This window comes from Homo sapiens, chromosome 10, assembly GCF_000001405.40.
Source record: "Homo sapiens chromosome 10, GRCh38.p14 Primary Assembly".
NCBI lineage: Eukaryota > Metazoa > Chordata > Mammalia > Primates > Hominidae > Homo > Homo sapiens.
The window spans coordinates 72,703,377-72,726,712 of record NC_000010.11 but is presented as its reverse complement, the minus strand read 5'-3'; the positions used below and the strand labels follow the sequence as shown (position 1 = coordinate 72,726,712).

General features: G+C 39.5%; 1 protein-coding gene and 1 non-coding gene across 5 annotated transcripts in view, besides 1 other annotated feature; both read right to left on the bottom strand.

Annotated features, from left to right (window-relative positions):
• The window catches only part of MCU (mitochondrial calcium uniporter), a 195,552-nt gene that overhangs the window by 160,982 nt on the left and 11,234 nt on the right, over positions 1-23,336 (bottom strand). Inside the window, exons 2-3 of one of the 4 annotated variants that reach the window (NR_073062.2) lie at positions 11,487-11,602; positions 10,811-10,859 (exon numbers count right to left, since the gene is read on the bottom strand). The exons of the other annotated variants lie outside the window; for them this stretch is intronic. The gene's annotated coding sequence lies outside the window, so the exon portion shown is untranslated. The remainder of the gene's footprint in view (positions 1-10,810; positions 10,860-11,486; positions 11,603-23,336) is intronic. 4 annotated transcript variants of the gene reach the window in all.
• Positions 5,613-5,684, bottom strand: MIR4676 (microRNA 4676). The gene has a single exon (NR_039823.1). It is a non-coding gene; the product is annotated as a microRNA 4676 (primary transcript).
• Positions 23,217-23,306: a silencer, noted in NCBI's record as "silent region_2479". NCBI's record gives its function as "represses an Ori minimal core promoter by ATAC-STARR-seq in GM12878 lymphoblastoid cells {active_cell/tissue: GM12878}" and the evidence as "EXISTENCE:reporter gene assay evidence [ECO:0000049][PMID:35858748]".

Genomic DNA, 23,336 nt, shown 5'->3' with positions numbered 1-23,336 from the left:
GAAATGCTTTGGACCAGAAGTGTTTCAAATACTGAATTTTGATTTTTTTTAGATTAGGAATACTCAACCTATATCATTAAATATGCATATATCATATGTACATATACTTTGAACCAGAAATCCCACTACTTATCTCATAAACGTACCTGTATATAAGGATATGTACAAGATGCTTATTACAATGTTCACAGTGACAAAAAAAAACAGGAAACAAAGTGAATGTCCACCAGTAAAATATCAGCTGAATAAACAAAAGTACAGCTGCATCAAGGAATAATCCCATATATGATGGCATATTATACGGCCATTGAATTAATGACAGAGCTGTATCAGTTGACTTAGAGGGAGCTCTACTATTTATTACTATGTGAGAAAAACAAAATACAGGAAAGAATGCAAATATGATCCAATTTTACAGAACGAACTACACACACACACACACACACACACACACACGTGTGTGTGTGTGCCTGAAGTATGTGTGTGCTGATAGACAAAAAACAAATAGGGTGGAGCCAGGTGCCACGGCCAATGCCTACGATTCTATCTACTCCAGAGGCTGAGGTGGGAGGATCCTTTGAGCCCAGGAGTTCAAGACCAGCCTGGCAATACAGCAGGATCCTATCTTAAAATATATAAATAAATAAAAACAGATAGGATAATCATTCAAGTATGAAGAAAAATATGGAAGGATATATATACGACATGGTTATCTTGGAGCAAAATGGGAAGGAGAGAGAATCAGGCAAGAAAGGAGGAAATAAATATGATTTTAGTTATATGAAAGGCAGTATGTATAAACACATAGATTAATTTTTTTTCTTTTTTTTCAGACAGTTTCGCTCTTGTTGCCTAGGCTGGAGTGCAATGGTGCAATCTTGGCTCATTGCAACCTCCACCTCCTGGGTTCAAGCAATTCTTCTGCCTCAATCTCCCAAGTAGCTGAGATTACAGGTGCCCACCACCATGCCCAGCTAATTTTTGTATTTTAGTAGAGATGGGGTTTCACCATGTTGGTCAGCTGGTCTCGAACTGACCTTAGGTGATCCACCGACCTCAGCCTCCCAAAGTGTTGGGATTATAGGCGTGAGCCACCGCACCCGGCCTACATTAATATTTTTTAAATGAAAATAGTATGAGCCAGGCACAATGGCTCATACCTGTAATCCCAACACTTTGGGAGGCCCCAGGTGGGAGGATCATTTGAAGGCAGGAGTTAGAGACCAGCTTAGGCAACATAGTGGGACTCCATCTCCATAAAAAACATTTTTAAATTAGCCAGGTGTGGGCCAGGCGCAGTGGCTCATGCCTGTAATCTCAGCACTTTGGGATGCTGAGGCAAGCGGATCACAAGGTCAGGAGATCGAGGCTATCCTGGCTAACGCGGTGAAACCCCGTCTCTACTAAAAAATACAAAAAATTAGCCAGGTGTGGTAGCAGGCACCTGCAGTCCCAGCTTCTCGGGAGGCTGAGGCAGGAGAATGGCGGGAACCCGGGAGGTGGAGCTTACAGTGAGCCGAGATCACACCACTGCACTCCAGCCTGGGTGACAGAGCGAGACTCCGTCTCAAAAAAAAAAAATTAGCCAGGTGTGGTGGCGTGTGTATGTAGACCCAGCTACTTGAAGAGGCTGAGGTGGGAGGATCCCCTGAACCCAGGAAGTCGAGGCTCAGGAGAGTAAGCCATGCTTGTGCCACTGCACTATAGCCTGGATGACAACATGAGACCTTGTTTCAAAAAAATAAAAAATAAACACAGTGTGAAAGTTATTAAAAACCAGCTAATCCAACCATCCAGATGCCCCAAAGATTCGTTTATTCAACACTAAGTGCTTATTTTGTGCAATGAACTGGGGAAAAGGCTGGCATCTCCTTCCCAATAACAAATCTAGTAACGAAGAATCCATCTATTCCAAAGGATTTCCATTCCATTTTGAAGCTGATCTAATAAGAGAAAATTCTTCCATATGCTGAGCTGCAATTTGCTTCTCCATAAAGAGAAGGAATAAATCTAATCTAACCTTCATCCACATAGCTGTCTTCAAATATGTTCAGGACTAATACTGTATTTACTTGGCAACATTTACAGGTAGTTCCCTACTTTCATATATAATACAGCCCTTTAAATGTGCCTAAGAGTTGAATGTCCAGATTCAGACTTAAAGGACTTAAAATGTTAAAAAGTGACAAACTTGTGGGGGAGGGGGTGGTGGTAGAAATGCAGTTAAAATCACAAAGGATTAGTTTCCCTAATATACAAAGAACTCCCACAAATTACAAAGAAAAAGACCAACATCTCTATGAGAGTTAAGGAACATGAGTTTTAGTTCACAGCAAAGGGAAAGACAGTACTTTTAAAAGAATCTCACTTCACTTATACGAGAAAAACATATTAAAGCTTCATTGAGATACCATTTTTTCACCAGTCAGAAAGTTTAGTACCACATTGTATTGGCAAAGATGTAAGCAGAGAGTAATTCTGATACCTTCTACTTCAAGGAATACATTCTATAAACTCATACACAAGCAATGATGAATGCACAAGGTTATTCACCATAGCAATGCAAATAACTGCAAAAGACTGGAAACAACATACATGTGTAATAGGGAATTGATTTTTTAAAAATATAGTATATCTACATAACTATATTAAAGAATCACAAGCTATTTCTTAATATTCTTGATGAGCAAATCTAGAGACAAAAGGATGGGCTTTCCAATGACCTTAGAAGAATCTGACAGTTTGTGTTAAACGTTCTCGAAGATACCATCTGAAACAGATGGACTTTTAAAGATGTTCTGAATAACATTATTAAAATTTGTGGCTGTTACTTGTGAGTGTAAAAGAACATGGTGAGGGCGGTAACCTATTCTATCTGCAGAGCAACAAACTACAAAAGTCATCAGGTGAAAACGAGGAAAGAATGTTTACCTTTAAAATCCTCAAATGTGCTACCAAAAAATATATATATTTTGAAAAGCACGTTGCAAGCACAAATACTGATACAGCCACTCTGGAATATTATGCTGCCATTAAATGTGTATGACAAGTTTGTTAAATATTTGGTATAATGCTGAGCAAAAAAAGCAAAATATAGTTACATGGGTTTTTTTCTTCTTTGAGTCATCTTCGATGGTAAGTTATATGGTTTTATGTTGTATATAAAGATGACCTATTCTTTTATCAAAGCAAGATGAATTCCATTAAAAAATGTCTAAAAGGAAATACATAAAAATGTTAACAATGGTTGTCTCTGAGTAGCACTTTTTCTTTCTTCCATTTTTCTGTACATCTCAATTTCTATGATAAAAGATTTAGTACTTTTATCATAGAAAGAAATTTTTTAAAAATGAATGATTCTGAATATGTTAGAAAAAATAAGAATCATAGCATCATATATAGAACAGAAAACTAAGTTTATTAATTTAATCTTCGTTCTGACAAATTTGCTAATTTTTAAAAACTTAGCTGCAAAAAAAAGACTAGATAATAAACATTTTCTTTTTTTCTTTTTTTTAAGACAGAATCTCGCTCTGTCGCCCAGGCTGGAGTGCAGTGGCCCAATCTCGGCTCACTGCAAGCTCCGCCTCCTGGGTTCATGCCATTCTCCTGCCTCAGCCTCCCAAGTTGCTGGGACTACAGGCACCTGCCACCACACCCAGCTAATTTTTTGTATCTTTAGTAGAGATGGGGTTTCACCATGTTAGCCAGGATGGTCTTGATCTCCTGACCTCATGATCCACCTGCCTCAGCCTCCCAAAGTGCTGGGATTACAGGCGTGAGCCACCACACCCAGCCAAAAATAAACATTTTCTGAAGATAACAGTAATAGAATAAAGGAAATTAAGCTTTGATAAGGAAAAGGGACTTTTTCTCCCATGTCCAGTAGTCTTGAGAAAAGAAATAATGCAAATTTTATTTAAAATGTCACCCAAGAAAGTAACAAAAGGCCTCATAAAAAAGAAACAGATTTTGTCTCTATTTCTTAATCATCTAACAGGAAGAAGTAGCAACTTTCAGTGCAAGCTACTCTCTTCTTTGACTTATAAATCAAACTCCCCCCAAAAATGGGTTGTCAAAGTTACCCCTGAAAAATTAATTTTTAAAAAGTAACTATAGCTATCATGTTTTCAACTCTGGTTACACTAGAATTTTGCTTGTAAAAATAGTTGCATGTTAAAAAAAAAAAAAGAAAGAAAGAAAAAAGTGCCAATAACTACAACTCAATCTTGTTACCTCACTGTAATATTAGCTATGCCTAGACTAAGTCAAGCGGGAGGTTAAAGTTCCTTAATAAAACAGAAAAGAAAAAGAAACAGCTGAGGTTAAGGGGAAAAGGTGGCATCTAGTTCATAAGAAGTCATGTACCTTTTTTTTTTTTTTTTTTTTTTTTTTTGAGATGGAGTTTCACTCTTGTTGCCCAGGCTGGAGTGCAAAGGTGCAATCTCCGCTCACTGCAATCTCTGCCTCCCGGGTTCAAGTGATTCTCCTGCCTCAGCCTCCCAAGTAGCTGGGATTTAAGTGCCCACAGCTTTTTCTAATTATAATAAACAGTATGTTATACTAATCTACACGTTAATATTTATACCAAGAATTCCCTATAAACCCAATTTATCTTCAAATAAAGTGTATAAATTCCATTGTTTCATAACTTAGCACAGATCTTCAAACCCACAATGATGTTACTGTGAGAACAATATACTATCAAATGTACACTTAACCATAAATATTGTTGCATTCCCCATAAGGAGCCTAAGTGGATAGTAATTCAAGTTGCAATTACCAATAAGAGGCCCAAACTGATTTGTTTATATGTATCACAGATATTTTCGTTTCAAACAAAATGAAATGCTTCTTTTTAAGTCTCAACAGCAAATATAACCATTATGCCCACCCACAGATGACATTGCCTAGAAATAGCAGTAATGCATCACTACAGCAAGGCACTAGATGACTACAAAAACACTGTAGTGTATATTAAAATCATCTCAGAACAACCAATAAAATAAAATTTTCATGCAAGGAGATCATGGAAGACCTTACTGAGAATATAATATTTCAGCAGAGACTCAAGAGGGAAAAGAAATAAGAAAACCTGTATATATTCAGGAGAAAAGCATTCTAATGATAGAAAACTGCAGTGCAAAAATCCTATGAGGTAGGTGCATGTTCAGCATGTTTGAGGAATAGCAAGGAGGTCAGTATCACAAAATGGAGTGGGCAAGAGGGAAAGTGGCAGCAGATGGGAGTCAGACGGGGAGCCAAATGTTCAACAGTGATGTGCTGAAGCCGATATTGACTGGGGAGCAGATTGCTGTACATTCTAGAACTTTGAATCAGCCAGAGTGGGAGTAATTATACCAGTAAAACAGGCAAATGCTACAAATCAGAACCTTTTCCCCCTCCAGAGAGCCAGTTTATTGTCACTACCTGTAGGCCCCTTGAAGAACTTTGTCTTTTACTGAGTGAGATCAGAAGCTACTGAATAAGTCTCCTTCTGCCTGATGTCATCATTCCCACTGCTGAATTACGACCAGAGGTAAGAAAGAACAAAAGCAGGGAGACTAATTAGAAAGCTGTTAATATAATCTAGGTGAGATACATTGTTAGCATGAACCAAAGAGCCAGTGGTGAAACAGTGAGAAGTAATCAACTCACTGTCTCACCACTGGCTCTTTCATTCAGGCTCTGGATATAAAGAACTATTCTTACTTGGATCAGTATGTAGCAACAATTACTAAGCTTCCTGTCTAGAAATCAGTATCTAACTCTAACCTAAACATGTCATTCCTGGTTCTGAATTAAGACTGTTAGTTGGATGTATAAAGTACTTCAAGAAGCTCAAATAACCAGGAGTCTTAGATGCACGTTACATATCTTCAGCTATTAAGGGTTCTATTATCATTTCAATTGATCAACATATACATTTGTTGAACATCTATTATAAGACACTGCAGAGAATACAAGTAAAATCTGTAATCCAAGCCCTTTCCTCAAGGAGGTTACAATCTGAAGTTTAAACTAAAGCATCCGTATATAAAAAGATAGATTCAACACAATGGAAGTATAAAATGTGTGGCAGGGCTAAGGAGTATTCTATAAATTGGAAAGGAGAAGGAAGAAGTCACTGAACAGATAGGACTTGAGCTGTGCCTTGAAGGATGGATAGAGTGAGATGATGAGAAAGGAACAAACGGAACAAGTCAGGGCCTAATAGTCAGTGGATCTGCAAAGTGAAAGGGCTAAGAAAAAGGTGGGAATGCACTTGGTGATTAAGGAGTAATCTATTCATGGCATTCAGGAGCATGGGGAGACAGAGGTTACAACTGGGAAGTATGCAGACATATACCTGAATTCCTAATTCCATCACTTACTAGCTTGAGCAAGTTACATAGAACCTTCCTGTCTTTATTTCTTCAGCAGTAGAAATTATAGTACCTACTTTATAGGACTGGTGCACAGAATAAATGAAATAAAATCATGTATGTATGGCATGTCACACAACCTGAAAGTTAGTAAGCAGTCACTGGTTATCAGAAACATTATTGGCCAGGCACAGTGACTCATGCCTGTAATCCCAGGCCATAGTGGAAGGATTGCTTGAGGCTAGGAGTGCAAGACCAGCTGGGCAACCTAGTGAGACCTTGTCTCTCCAAAAAAAAAAATTTAATTAGATGGGCGTAGTATTTTGCACCTGTAATCAGTCCCAGTTACTCAGGAGGCTGAAGTGGGAGGGTCACTTGAGGCCAGGAGCTCAAGACCAGCCTGTGCCACACGGCAAGACTCCCATCTCAATCAATCAACTAATCAATCAATAAAAATGATTGGGAAGTGGCAATGGTTAATGGGCACAAAATAATTAAAAGAATGAATAAGACCTAGAATTGTATAGCACAACAGGGTGACTATAGCCAATAATAATTTAATTGTATATTTTAAAATAACTAAGAGAATATAATTGTATGTTTGTAATATAAAGGATAAATGCCTGAGGTGATTTATCCTCAAGTCACTGGAAAAACCAAAAGTGACAATAAGAAAAATCACAAAAAGAGCTCTGTTTGGGAAGAAAATTCTACATTCTGGTTATGTTAAGTGATACCTTAAAGCCAAAAGAACATGTAAAATACACACACAACCAAGACTACAGCTCACTTGCTGATGTAACAATCAGTGGGAAGGAACACATACCAGCACTCGTAAACACATGAATATTCCAAATGCACAACTATTTGACCGATCATTCTTTACTGTACTAAAAGAATACCTGAACGTTTTGACTTGGTGAATCAAAACAGACCAAAAGGAAAAGATGTCCTTCTTTGGGGCATCTCAAAAACCTGGTTACAATAACAACAGATTATTAACATCAGCTACTTTATTCTTCTTATAATACAAATAAGACTAAGACTGTAACAGCTCCAGTAACATAATGGTACCTTGATAATCCTATAATTCTGACAGCATATATTCTAAGATAAAAGGTTCATTTGCTCAACTGGTTCTCTACATATCCTTTAAATGTTAACAGTGAAATGCTGTGTGTTTTCCAGAATTGCTAATACTTTTAATACTTTTTGTATATACTTTCTGAATAACATGTAAATGAAAAAGTATAAACTTGATAATTTTTTCACAAAATGAACCCACCCATGTAACCAATGCCTAAACCAAGAGACAGAACATTACTAGCACCCCAGGAGCCCCCTTCATACCCTCTGTCAAACACTTTCCCCAAACCCCCAACAAAGGTGATCAGTCTCCTGACTTCTGACACTATTGATTAGTTTTACCTGCTTTTGAATTCATATAAATGGAATCATACACTGTTAGTGTCTGGCTTCTTTTGTTCATCATATTATTTGTGAGAACCATGCATTTTTATATGTAGTTGTAACCTGTTCATTCTGATCACTGTTCAATACTCATTATGTGGTTATGTCACAAATTATATACTTATTCTACTGTTGATGGGCACTTGGAAAATTCCAGTTTGGACTATCAGTCCTGCCATGAACATTTTTGTCCAGGTCTTTTGGTGAATATAGATAGACACATAATTCTGTTTTGTATAAACCTAGAAATGGAACTCCTGAGTCATAGGGCATGCATGTGTTCAACTTTTGTAAATAACTAATGAACTTTTAAGGAATAAATATTTTTAAATCTTCATAGGGAAATATGAATGATTAATAGATTCATCAGAAGGTATGGACTCCAAAACTACTTTCAGCGGGAAAAAACTTATTGACGTAGGATAGTTGATCCACATCATTCCCAAAGGAGGCAATTTACTTTAGAATATTTTCACCAGCAATTTAGCATATGATACTTAATGACAGAAGTAACCAAATCCATCTTGTCCTTTCTGAAATTGATGATGCTAAAATTTAGAAACAATTGAAGAGCCATTACTATCAATAAGATAAAGTAACAATTTTTTTTCCCAACACCTAACAGGAGAATATAAACATTACAAGTCCAAACTTTGCCTGTTGTACTCATTTAAATAGACTCTTGGAAATTGAAAGGGACTTCAGAACTAGCCTAACCTTCAGGTGATCATATAAATGTCTCCTATTTCAACGAACATGCTAATAAAAATTCCTTTAATCCAAGAACAGAAAAAGAACACTAGGCAAAAACTAAGGGAATCTGAATACAGTATGGACTTTAGTTAATAATAATGTATCAAGATTGGTTTGTTAATTGTAACAAATGTACCAAAGTAATGTAAAATGTTAATAATAGAAGAAGGTGAGGGATATATGGGGATTCTGTGTAAGATCTTTGCCATTTTTTTGTAAATCTAAAACTGTTCAAAAATAAAATTTATTTTTAAAAGTCCAATTAAAACTCTGCAACATAATCTACAGATTGTAATACACCTGCTAAACTCCTTTCAAAACGCAATCCAGATGCACTTTTAAAGCTGTTAGACACACATACCCACACACACATACACAAATATACTTTCTATCTATGGTCTTAGATACATAGATATATGAGGAAAGCATTCTATCTATGCCAATTTTAGTTTTGCTCCTAGCTTCAAAATTATGAACAAGGCTCTAACTTCTTTTTTTATTCCATCTAAGCCAACCTTTCTGAGTATATACTATAAGCACTTAGTGACTCATTAAGAAGCAATCCCGGCTGGGCACAGTGGCTCACACCTGTAATCCCAGCACTTTGGGAGGCTGAAGCGGGTGGATCACCTGAGGTCAGGAGTTTGAGACCAGCCTGGCCAACATGGTGAAAGCCCGTCTCTACTAAAAGTACAAAAATTAAGCGGGCGTGGTGGCGGGCGCCTATAACCCAGCTACTTAGGAGGCTGAGGTAGGAGAATTGCTTGAACTCGGGAGGTAGAGGTTGCAGTGAGCCGAGATCGTGCCACTGCACTCCAGCCTGCGCGACAGAGCGAGACTGTATCTCCAAAAAAAAAAAAAGAAGCAATCCCCTAGTTATCTTCAAACAATAAAAGCATCCAAACTCCAATTAAGACCGATACTCTTAACAACCATATCTTTGTGGTTTAAATCATTGAGTCTTTGCTTTTACTTCAGGGGCAAAAAAAAAAAAAAAGAGAGAGAGAGAGAAAGGAAATAGACTGTGCACCTTTCAAATAGTAGGGAAAACAAGCATCGCCTAATATGTTGTGAGACCTAGCAAAAGGAACCCTAGGAAAGGAGGCAGGAGACCTACCCTCTGATTTCAGTAGTAGAACACTGATTTGCTCTGTGATCCTTGAATAACTCTGGTCCTCAATTTCCATTACCCTGACTGGTATTTTAACTGTAATAATTCTTCCATGAATCTGGAAGTCCTTTCTTTCTTTAAGAAACAGGGTCTTGCTCTGTCATCCAGGCTGGAGTACAATGGCGTGATCACAGCTCACTGCAGCCTCAAATTTCCTGGGCTCAAGCGATCCTTTCACCTCAGCCTCCCGAGTAGCCATAACTACAGGGGCATGCCCAACTAATTTTTTTTTTTTTTTAATGGGGCCTCACTATATTGCCCAAGCTGGTTAGGCACTCCTGGCCTCCAGCGATCCTCACACCTCGGCCTCCCAAAGTGTTCAGATTACATGTGTGAGCTACCACGCCCAGCCTATAAAACCTTTAGAGAATCCAATAATAGTAATAACATCCTACCACTGAATGAACGCCTACACCCAGTGAGAAAGCAAAAAAGAGAAAGAGAAATGAGAGTCAGTGTGAAAGACAGAGAATAAATGAATGAAAGAAAAGAAAAGATAAAGAAGCTGGACTGCCATTACAGCTTTCCATTTCAGTAACCTTGTATTAGTAATCAATCATACCACTATGCATATTGCAAATATTTACTTGCTAGTCAGCATTATGACACAGGTCTTGACTTTCCTGGTTTTCTCTTTAGAAGCCTATTTGAAAACAACTGTGGTTCTGGCAAGTTTATTTCTAAATACAATTTGAAGTTTAGTTTGCCTATAGTAGGAGTTGGCAAACTTTTTCTTAAAGGGCTAAATAATAAATAGTTTAGGCTTTATGGACCATATAGTCTCTGTTGTAACAACTAAACTCTGTCCTTATAGTGCCAGGGCAACCACAGACAATCTGTAAACAAATGGATATGTCTGTATTGTAGTAAAACTTTGTTTACAAAATCAAGCAACCATTTATGCTACAGTTTGTCAACGCCTGTTCTACAGTAACAGGGGGCAGAAAAATCAACTGGCAACATAGATTTCATAAAACCACATGAGTTCACACCAAAATAAACTGTTTTGCTTGCAGGGAGAAAATGCTTATGAATCATGATCTTCACATACCTGCGAATGTTCAAGTTTCCCCTGCGTGAACAGGTCACATCACCAATACCTAAGACAGAGCAGGAAAACACTCTCCCTTACATGGTTGTTATGACATACAGGGGATGTGTTAATTTATATAGGCAAAATTTACAAGATGACCTGCAAAAGTAAGATACCAGGTTTTAGCAACTTTAATGATAAACATAGAAACCCATACCTGATTAACCTCAACCATTACTTCTTCCATATATTAAGCCAAATTAATTAAGATAAATGCCAAGGTAATTGGCTTTCCTAGGAGAGCTGCCCTGTTTCCATGCAATCCAGTTGGTTTACACCAGCAGACAGACCCTTGGTCATCCACACCCTATTAAATTTCCAGGAGACCAGAGTAACTGTGTGAGGTAGCATAGTTCTGATTTATTGGGGTTGTTTACCAATATGGTCTAATCAGGCTAAGATCAGATATATTATCCCTTAGGGTGTACCATAGTAAAAATATTCTATTGTGCAACAGTCACCTCACTAAACTCAGCCCCATGTTAGCTACCAAGTGTTCAATAGCAGGCTGGAGCAAAGAGCCAGCCCACAAGGATCAAGCAAGTGCCTTTTTAAAAACTAATCTTAAGAAGCTCCTCTACATGGCTTTGCAAAGTAAGCAAAAACCATGCCAAATAGTAAAAAAGGCACTTACTTGACTCCCACAGGCCAGCTCCACACTCTAGCAGCTAAGATGTCACTGGCATGGTACATGGAGAGTGAGGTAGAAACGGTATCTTGCCAATCACTGTAGGAATGGTAGTGAAAGACCTAAAAGAATAGAAAAAAGTAAAGTAAATGTCAAAGGTAAAGGCCCTCTTGAGCCTGCTAATGTGGGTACCTCAGCATATAATGCCAAAGAAGAAAGAAAGTCTGAAAAGACCTTGTTTAAGTCATTCTTAGCCACTAGTTATCACAGTGACCCTTAGGACAAGAGAGCACTTTTAAAAAAAATTAGTTGTAACCTAGAATAAATCCAGATTGACCGTAAGAAACTCTAAAATACTTTTTCCAGAAACAAAGTATTAAATATTTGGGCAGGGCGCAGTGGCTCACGCCTGTAATCCCAGCACTTTGGGAGGCCAAGGGGGGGGCAGATCACCTGAAGTTGGGAATTCAAGACCAGCCTGACCAACATGGAGACACCCCGTCTCTACTAAAAATACAAAATTTGCCCAGCGTGGTGTTGCATGCCTGTAATCCCAGCTTCTTGGGAGGCTGAGGCAGGAGAATTGCTTTAACCCGGGAGGCAGAGTTTGCGGTGAGCTGAGATCATGCCATTGCACTCTAGCCTGGGCAACAGGAGGGAAACTCTGTCTCAAAAAAAATAGTAATAATAGATATTTGACAATCACATGATAAGCTCAACAGATATAAAAATTGGGAGTTAGCTGGGTGTGGTGGTGTGGGCCTATAGTCCCAACTATTCAAAATGCCAAGGGAGGAGGATTGCTTGAGCCCAGGAATTCAAGGCCAGCCTGGGCCTGGGCAACAAGCAAGACCCCATCTCTTTAAAAAAAAAAAAAAAAAAAAAAAGACCAGGGCGGGGGGAACTGAAGTAACAGCTCATAAACAAATTTTTTTAGAAATATTTTTAGATTAAACAAGAAAAAAATTGGCCAGGCGTGGTAGCTCATGCCTGTAATCCCAGCACTTTGGGAGGCCGCGGTGGGCAAATCATGAGGTCAGGAGTTCGAGACCAGCCTGGCCAACATGGTGAAACCCCATCGCTACTAAAAATACAAAAATTAGCCAGGTGTGGTAGAGCACACCTGTAATCCCAGCTACTCGGGAGGCTGAGGTAGGAGAACTGCTTGAACCAGGGATGCGGAGGTTGCAGTGAGCCAAGATCGCGCCATTGCACTCCAGGCTGGACGACAAAGCGAGACTCCAACACACACACACACACACACACACACACACACACACACACAAATGATGAAAGAGGAAAACAAATTCACCCCATCTCTGTGTGTCCGGAATATAAAAAACTGATAGAACCCTAACAAACAATGAAGAAATAAGAAACATTTTTTAAATTAAAAAAGTCTTAGGCCATCCACTAGTTTCAGGCTTTCACTAGTTTCAGAAACAAGTTTACAAAATTTAGAAACCTTGAAGTACTAAATTAAAAAAAATTCTGGTTCATTTGCCAAGCCACACAAACTCTTTGGTTTAGAGGTTCTGTTTGAAAATGATTGGAAATCATTCCAAAACAAGAAAAATACAAAAGGCCCTTTCACATACCACTATCTCCTCTCCCCATACCTATACTTTTCACGGTAAAATAATTTGTGAAAATTACTACAGAAGTATAATTTGTGTAGTTAGCAAGAAAACCAGCACTAGCGAGGCGGGCAGATCACCTGAGGTCAGGAGTTCAAGACCAGCCTGGCCAACATGGTGAAGTCCCATCTCTACTAAAAATACTAAAACTAGCCGGGCCTGGTGGCAGGCACCTGTAATCCCAGCTACTCGGGAGGCTGAGGCAGGAGAATCACTTGAACCTGGGAGGTGGAGGTTGCAGTGAGCCGAGATTGCGCCACTGCATTCCAGCCTAGAGAACAAGAGTGAGACTTCGTCTCAAAAACAAAACAAAACAAAAAAAACTCTCCCATTACTGGAGGTTCATTCCTGAGGCACTGGAATCTATCAAATAAAAAAGGCAAAAGTATTTTTTCATTCTAATTAAGTTTTAGCCAAAAGACTATTATACCACCCCTAATTAAAATATGCTTAAAATTGGTCACCATTTGTAACAATCTTCAAATTGTACAGATCTCAAATAATTTAATGAGAATGGAAGATTCACTGTTAATAGCATATCTGGCCAGACTTATATCTTGGGTGCCTAACTAACATTTTAATTTTGGCTTGTGTTTGCTTGCCGTAGCGACAGTCCCTGGAAACCATCCAATTTATTAGTGTTTCCCTTGCTGCCTCAGCATTTCTGGTTAATGCACTACAGCAAATCATTTGGAGGGACAACCTGAATGAAGCTCTGCCCTGTGTACTCTGCAAAAATGTTCAAACCATTATCAAGAGTGTTGGAAATGAAAGACAACAGCATGAAATTGAGAAGATAAAATTTTATCAGAGATTGTCTTTTTAAAACAATGACTTCAAAGTAAGAATATACATTGACTAATATGTACAGAATTATTATTAAAACAAATATTTATTTCACACCAACTACCTGTCTCAAAAAGTATGTCCCCTCATTTCTAGACCTTACTTTTCTTTTGCTTGCCCCATAAAACCACGACACAATTCAAGAACAGCCTTTTTACCATAAAAGGCGCATCTCCTTTTACAAAATAAAGCAGATAGTACCCAAATTGCAGATAATTCCAAACACACAGAAAAGAAACAATGAATTAATGCCAACAAATTTCCACCCACAGCTTGTCTGCACTTGAAATATCTGAGAATTTTAGTAACCCAGGCTTTTGTTGCAGCAGCTCAATCCCCCACGAGCTCACTGTTTTGTGGCAGATGCTGCTCTGTATCTTGTACAAGACATGTTCATCTATGTAATAAAACATTCTTCTTCTCTGCCTTCTCTCAGGAAGTACAAAGGATTTTCCCAGGAATATGATAAACGAGGACATTCCACACCAAAAAAGGAAAACTGGTTTTGAAAGTCAAAACAGCATTCCTAGTCTAACTTTAAAAATGACATAATAAATTCCTTTTTCCTGTCCCCCAGAATATTCAGCAAAAAGTCTGTCAGTTAACAGAGGTTTAAATATATGAAATAGAGACAGAAACGCCAAAGTAGTTAAAAATGAATGAACCAGAACCACATGTATCAACTAAATAAGTTTTTTTTTGTTTTTTGGGTTTTTTTTTTTAAGAAACACAGTCTTGGGCAGGGTGCGGTGGCTCATGCCTGTAATCCCAACACTTTGGGGGGCCAAGGCAGGCGGATCACGAGGTCAGGAGATCGAGACCATCCTGGCTAACACGGTGAAACCCTGTCTCTACTAAAAAATACAGAAAATTAGCTGGGAGTGGTGGTGGGCGCCTGTAGTCCCAGCTACTCGGGAGGCAGAGGCAGGAGAATGACGTGAACCCGGGAGATGGAGCTTACAGTGAATGGAGATTGTGCCACTGCACTCCAGCCTGGGGGACAGAGTGAGACTCTGTCTCAAAAAAAAAAAAAAAAAAAAAGAAACACAGTCTTGCTCTATCCCCAGGCTGGAGTGCAATGGCCCAATTATAGCTCAGTGTAACCTCAAACTACTGGCCTCAAGCAATCCTCCCACCTCAGCCTCCCAAAGTGCTGGTATTATAAGTATGAGCCACTGTGCTGGCCTAATTTTTTTTTTTTTAAGTATTAAGAGGGAAAAAAAAAAAAAGGCCAGGCGTAGTGGCTCATGCCTGTAATCACAGCACTTTGGAAGGCCGAGGCAGGCAGATCACTTGAGGTCAGGAGTTCAAGACTAGCCTGGCCAACATGGCAAAACCTCATGTCTACTGAAAATACAAAAATTAGTTGGGTGTGGTGGCACACGCCTATGGTCCCAGCTACTCAGGAGGCTGAGGCAGGAGAATCACTTGAACCCAGGAAGTGGAGATCGCAGCGAGCCGAGATCGCACCACTGCACTCCAGCCTGGTTGACAAAGGGAGACTCCATTCCAAAAAAAAAAAAAAAAAGATTTGCAGAAGGATACATACAGTGTAATACTTTTTTTTTTTTTGAGACAGAGTTTCGCTCTTGTTGCCAGGTAGAGTGCAATGGCATGATCTCGGCTCACTGCAACCTCTGCCTCCCAGGTTCAAGCAATTATCCTGCCTCAGCCTCCCAAGTAGCTGGGATTACAGGCGCCCACCACCATGCCCAGCTAATTTTTGTATTTTTAGTAGAGACAGGGGTTTCATGATGTTGGCCAGGCTGGTCTTGAACTCCTGATCTCAGGTGATCTACCTGCCTTGGCCTCCCAAAGCGCTGGGATTACAGGCATGAGCCACTGCGCCCGGCCAGTTTAATACCTTTTAAATAAGGTTTTAAAACATTCTTACAAAACTATATAAGATAGGTGTAGATAAAGGATAAACACACTCATGGGATGGTAAACATCAAATTTAAGAGAATGTTACTTTTGGGAGAGAGGTCTAAGGAATGGTACTTGGGGGCAGCAATTATAATCATAATGTTCAATTTCTCAAGCTAAAGGTTGTATATTATATTATTCTACTTTTTATAGACATGACATACTTCACAATTTAAAAATAAAAGATTTTTGTCCTTGTATGTCTGATTGAACATAATGTAATTTCCTTATAAAGGACCACTCCACCTCCACCAAAAAAAAAAAAAAAAAAAAAAAAAAACCTTAGGTGATGGAATGGCCTTTCCAAGTGAGCTCCTTTGACAGCATTCCCATCAGTAGTTTACCTTCTGCCTTTTCTTCCACTAGTGCTATGACTGTCTAATGCTGGCTGTGATGTGACCTTCGGATCCATAACTCAGGGTCTCAGATTGTCTCTACTTTTCATCTTACAAAGAACACCCATTTTAGGCAAGAAATCTATTATAGTTTCCTTTCATTTTCTACTTTCTCATGTTAAAAGCTCTAGAATCATTAAAAAGAAAGCCATTAACCAGGCGCTATAGCTCACACCTGTAATCTCAGCACTTTGGGAGGCTGAGGGGGGCAGATCACGAGGTCAGGAGATCAAGACCATCCTGGCCAACATGGTGAAACCCCATCTCTACTAAAAAGTACAAAAAATTAGCCGGGCATGGTGGCATGTGCCTGTAGTCCCAGCTACTCAGGAGGCTGAGGCAGGAGAATTGCTTGAACCAGGGAGGCAGAGGTTGCAGTGACCTGAGATCGCACCACTGCACTCCAGCCTGGGCGACAGATCGAGACTTCATCTCAAAAACAAAACAAAACAGAAAGCCATTATGTATTTAAAGTTCACCCAACTTTGTGGCAGTTGGCCACACTAAGAACTTGAATTCATTCTGAATCGAACACCAATGCAGGATGAGACATTAAACTTAAAGAAAGCACTGACTGGAGTTCAGCTGTCCATTAAGTAAATGAATATTCCAAAATTCTGTAATATGTTACACTAAAATCCTGTTTTACTATCTCAACTGTGCTTAGGCAGCATTTTAACGTTTAAGTCACAGCTGAAAATAAAAAGAAAACAAGATTTCATTTTCTTTGGGGTTAAAACAAGAAAATAAATAAACAAAACCAAACTATTGACATCTATATCTATATCTAGTCAGATACTCACACAAAGTATACCCTAGGGGTCCCCTCAAAAAAGAAAAAAAAACACCAGAAAATCCATTTTTCCTGTCTATTCAGCAGTGTCTAGCACCAGCATTCACAGATCAGGAAAAAGGGAGAAAGAGAGAGAAACTAACAGATCAAGAAAGACATAACCTGGTATTCTTCTGTTTCCAAAAAATGTAATTCCATCAAAAGCAAATGAAAAACCTTCAATCTTCTCATTAGATTTTTACTATTTGTTCCATTCTACTCAATCTATCTTTAAATACTTCTTTAAAGTATTCTGACATCTGTATTGTTTTAAAATGAAAAATAGGTTTTTATCACACTTGGCCACTTGCCACAGCCCTGCTTCACGGCAGCTATCAGAATTCTGGCAGTGCAAAATACAGGATACAGTGGGGACAGAATGGAAATACACAAGACTAGTTCCAAAATAAACACTTCCAAAAATCTGCCTTCTTTGGAAATATATATATACAGAAAGAATCTACAGTTGGCAGCACCTCTTTGAAATAGTTCCTTTCTCTCTTCTGCAGTGTCCAGCATGGCCCATACCCCCACCAATCATGCCAGGTAGATGCCACTGTATCAATTTCTTAAATTTTTTTTTTTTAGAGATAGGGTATTTCACTCTGTCACCCAGGCTGGAGTACAGTGGTACAATCAAAGCTTACTGCAGCCTAGGCTCAAGTGATCCTCCTGCCTCAGCCTCCCAAAGTGCTGGGATTACAAACGTGAGCCACTGAGCCTGGCCTCAAATTACTTTTAACATAATAGCTTTACAATCTTTTTCATTACTATTTTTACTGAGCATTTTATTTAGTCCTGCTTGTTTCAGCACAATCGAAACTGTTTTAAGAGTATTAGCTGCTTCATGAATCAAAGAGAAGTCATTCCTTCTTGACATTCCCATAATTCCCATCACTGTAGTATCTGGGCACAGAGAACAAGATGATCTACAGCTGTGTTACCCACAGGGGAGAAGGATTTAGACAATAGTTGCCAGGACTATTTGACTCTCATTCACCCAACATGGACTGAATGTCTATGTTACTGACACTATACTAGGCTCAGTTCACAGAGCTGGAAGAATTTAAGGGCCACTATGCCTATTGACTCCTGCAGGCAACTAATCACTTAAGGTTTTCACACCTAGGATTCCTATAGTGTTACTACAAAATAAAACATTTTCTGCTTCAGGCTGGCAAGGTACAACTCAGAATTAATAAATTACTAGTACAGTCCCATCTTACTTCAATACTCTGACCTTAACTGCTTTCTTCCTTCTCTCAACTCTCCAACTCTCTGGGCTTTCCACATCTTCACCTCTTCCTCCACTCCCTTCGGCAATTTGGATTAGAGAAAAGAAAACAAAGGTGAAAGATGAGACTAAAGGCATAATGAACTGTTTAAGGGGAATACAAGGTAAATTGTTCATGAAGATGTCAGAAATAATTATGAAAACTGTCTTAAAGAGGAACTTGAAGGCTGTTTTTCTTCATTTCAAGCTCTTGGCCCTTGTGAGAATAAGCAAATACACAATACCTGAGTTTATGATTTTACACAAGCCATCTAATGAAATAACATAATTACTTGTAAAGTACTGTATAAAAATACAACATGTTTTATAATTTTAAAAGTTTTTTTTTGAACTGAACGTGGTGGTACGTGCCTGTAGTCACAGCTACTGAAGAAGGTGAGGCAGGAGGATCACTTTAGCCCAGGAGTTCAAGACCAGTCTGGACAACATAGTGAGACCCCCACCTCAGAAAAATAAATAAAATAAAAATTAAAAGCCCTTTAGGTTCACCTAATCAAGCATCCTTATTTAACTGACAAAAATATTAAGACCAAAGGGGTTAAGTCACTTGTCCAAGATCAAACAGCAAGTTAACGGAACAAAGAGGAACAGATCCAGTTCCTATTATACCACTTGGCACCAAATTCTCTTCAATTACTTTTGTTTTGGTGGGAAACACACACACACACACACACACACACACACACACACACACACCACTCACCACGACCACCTCTTCATTTATTTAACTATCTCAGAAAACTAATAATAAAAATATTCTGTGATGGTACAGCAATCCTTGGCTCCCATAACATTTCAAAAGGCGAGTCAGGTGCAGTGGCGCATGCCTGCAATCCCAGACTTTGGGAGGCCGAGGCGGGTGAATCACTTGAGGTCAGGAGTGCAAAACCAGCCTGGCCAAAAAGGTGAAACCCCGACTCTATTAAAAATGCAAAAATTAGCCAGGCATGGTGATGCGCACCTATAATCCCAGCTACTCGGGAGGCTGAGGCAGGAGAATTGCTAGAAATCAGGAGGCAGAGGTTGCAGTGAGCCAAGATCACACCACTGACCTCCAGCATGGGTGACATAGCAAGACTCTCTCTCAAAAAAAAAAAAAAAAAAGATTTCAAAATGCTCACCAACAGCATTACAAATATAATCTCTCTTCTGGTAGAGAAGATATTGCAGTCCGCCCAGGTGTGGTGGCTCACACCTGTAATCCCAGCACTTTGGGAGGCTGAAGCAGATGGATCATGTAAGGTCAGGAGTTCAAGACCAGCCTGGCCAACATGGTGAAACCCCATCTCTACTAAAAATACAAAAATTAGCCAGGCGTGGTGGCATGTGCCTGTAGTCCCAGCTACTCGGGAGGCTGAGGCAGGAGAATCACTTGAACCCAGGAGATGGAGGTTTCAGTGAGCTGAGACTGTGCCACTGCACTCCAGCCTGGGCGACAGAGTGAGACTGTCTCAAAAAAAAAAAAAAAGGCCGGGTGCGGTGGTTTACGTCTATAATCCCAGCACTTTGGGAGGCCAAGGCGGGCAGATCGTGAGGTCAACAGATCGAGACCATTCTGGCCAACATGGTGAAACCCCGTCTCTACTACAAGTACAAAAATTAGCTGGATGTGGTGGCGCACGCCTGTAGTCCCAGCTACTCGGGAGGCTGAGGAGGAGAATCGCTTGAACCCAGGAAGTGGAGGTTGCAGTAAGCCGAGATCACGCCACTGCACTCCAGCCTGGCGACAGAGCGAGACTCCGTCTCAAAAAAAAAAAAAAGAGAAGATACTGTAATGTCTCTAAAAAATTTCATAGTTACCAAAGAAATAAATACCGACACTTTTGTACTGTAATAACTGGAAAACCAAAGAATGTGTGTTGTCTAAAGCAATCTAGTAAGATACCTAGTCAATAAAAATGCTATAATCACTCCAAATAATTTGTTTTCAGTTATATATTGTTATACCTTCTGAGTCACTAGAGCAGCAGAAGCAGTAGGAATCTCATATATCTATATTTCTAATGTACAGGGGAAGGCTGCTACAATTTTACTACGAAAAGGTTTCATGCTTAGTAATGGCTACTTAAAAAAAAAAAAAAGATAAGACCATCATACAATGCTCAATAGTCCCTAAAGGAAATCAAAACAAGTTAAGGCCATTAGAAAGCTCTTTATCAACTTATATATTATTATAAAAATGAAAAATTAAAGAGAATAAAGTCAAAGAAAATTACTCAAAAGCATTCTTCTAATTAACAAACATAAAATTCAGTTATAGCACAAAGCTTCAGAGAATACAATAAACATATAATAAACAGAATATACCCCCTTTTTTTTTGAGAGAGAGTCTTGCTCTGTTGCCCAGGCTGGAGTGTTGTGGTTTGATCTCGGCTCACTGCAACCTCTGCCTCCCAGGTTCAAGTGAGATACTCCTGCCTCAGCCTCCCAAGTAGCTGGAATTACAGGCGTGTGCACCCACACCCGACTAATTTTTTTTTTTTTGAGACGGAGTTTTTGCTCTTACAGACCAGGCTGGAGTGCAATGGCTCAATCTCAGCTCACTGCAACCTTCACCTCTGGGTTCAAATGATTCTCCTGCCTCAGCCCCCCAAGTAGCTGGGATTACAGGCTTGTGCCACCACACCCAGCTAATTTTTGTATTTTTAGTAGAGATGGGGTTTCTCCATGTTGGTCAGGCTGGTCTCGAACTCCCGACTTTAGGTGATCCGCCCGCCTCAGCCTCCCAAAGTGCTGGGATTACAGGCATGAGCCACTGAGCCCAGTCTTTTTTTTGTATTTTTAGTAGAGACAGGGTTTTACCATGTTTTCCAGGCTGGTCTCGAACTCCTGACCTCAAGTGATCCACCCACCTCAGCCTCCCAAAGTGCTGGGATTACAGGCTTGAGCCACAGCGCCCAACCCAGAATATATCCTTTCAACAAATATTTTCATAATGCTACACAAATTGTTCAAATTCTATGGAACAGAGTAGGGGAAGCAGGCACAAGAAAATAAGGTAGCCATCTGATTTTTGATATATAAATTTTAAAATAAAAAAATTTTTTTGCATGGCACATGTATACCTATATAACAAACCTGCACATGCTGCACACATATCCCAGAACTTAAAGTAAGATTTTTTAAAAAAAATTTGTTTTGGCCAGGCACAGTACCTCACATCTGTAATCCCAGCACTTTGGGAGGCCAAAGCAGGAGGATCACTAGAAGCTGGGAGTTTGAGACCAGCCTGGGCAACATAGCAAGACCCTCACCTCTACAAAAAATTTTAAAATTATGCAGGTGGCTGGGGGCGGTGGCTCATGCTTGTAATCCCAGCACTTTGGGAGGCCGAGGCGGGCGGATTATGAGGTCAGGAGTTCAAGATCAGCCTGGCCAACATGGTGAAACCCTATCTCCACTAAAAATACAAAAATTAGCTGGGCATGGTGGCACATCCATGTAATCCCAGCTACTCGGGAGGCTGAGGTAGGAGAACTGCTTGAACCAGAACCCAGGAGGTGGAGGTTGCAGTGAGTCGAGATCGCGCCACTGCACTCCAGCCTGGGCTACAGAGCGAGACTCCGTCTCAAAAAAAAAAAAAAAAAAAAAAAAAAAATTATCCAGGCATGACAGTGCATGCCTGTAGTCCCAGTTACTTGGGATGCTGAGGCAGGAGGATCCCTTCAGCTCAGGAGTTCGAGGCTACAGTGATTTATAATGGTGCCATGAACTCCGGCCTGGGTGACAGAGGAAGACCTTGTCTCTAGGAAAGTTTTAATTTAATTTAAAAAATAAAAAAAAAATCACAAATTTTAAATCAGGTCAAAATTTAAAATTTTAGCAGGTCAGTACAGTTTTAAATACAAAATTAGAGGCATAGAAAAAAAGCATATTTAACATGATTGTAAAAAGGAACACTCAGCAAAGGTTAAGAAATAAAGTTTCAGTGCCTGAGTAATAAAGTCAAACAGACCGTGAATTGAATGGCCTTTCTACTGGTAGTAAGTGATAATCTACATTCAATCACCAAGTTCTATCAGTTCTACTTCTTAAATCTCTCTTCTCTCTTCCCTTTTCTCTATCTACAACGCTACTGTCCTAGTCAGGCATCTTTTCCTTGGTCCAGTGAGATGCTCCTTACTGGTCTTTCTACCTCTCTGGTCCCATCCTTTCCACCCGGCCTTCATACTGCTGCCAGCGTTACCTACCTGATCACCTGATTCTCCCACTTGAAATTCTTCAGAGGCTCATCTATAGACAAGCAGTATTTTTTCAAACTATGGCTTAAGATGTAAAATCAATTTAGGTCTCAACTAATATTTCTTTAACAAAACAGAATGGAAACTATATAAAATACATAGTAAAAAATATTATTTCATGAAACTTTTTTTTAGTTGTTTTTTGTTGTTGTTGTTGTTGTTGTTGTTGTTTTGAGACAGAGTCTTGCTGTCGCCCAGACTGGAATGCAGTGATCTCTGCTCACTGCAGCCTCTGCCTCCTGGGTTCAAGCAATTCTCACGTCTCAGCCTCTGGAGTAGCTGGGATTATAGGTGTATGCCACCATGCTAGGCTAATTTTTGTATTAGGTTGGTTTCACCATGTTGCCCAGGCTGGTCTCAAACTCCTGGCCTCAAGTGATCTGCCTGCCTCCACCTCCCAAAGTGCTGGGATTACAGGTGTGAGCCACCATGCCCAGCCACTTTTCTTTAGTTTTATGTGTGTACAATGCACACACATAACTGGGTTACAGTGTAAAATGTACTTCTACTGTGGGCTGAGTTAAAAACAAAACATAAAAACACTGACCTACAGAACAAAATTTCAATTTCTTCAGAAGTCCCTTCATAGTCTGATCCCTCACCACAGAAACAGTGGTTAAGAGACAGGATCTGAAGCCACTGTTTGGGGGTTTATATGCTAGGTGTGACATCTGCTAGCTGTGTG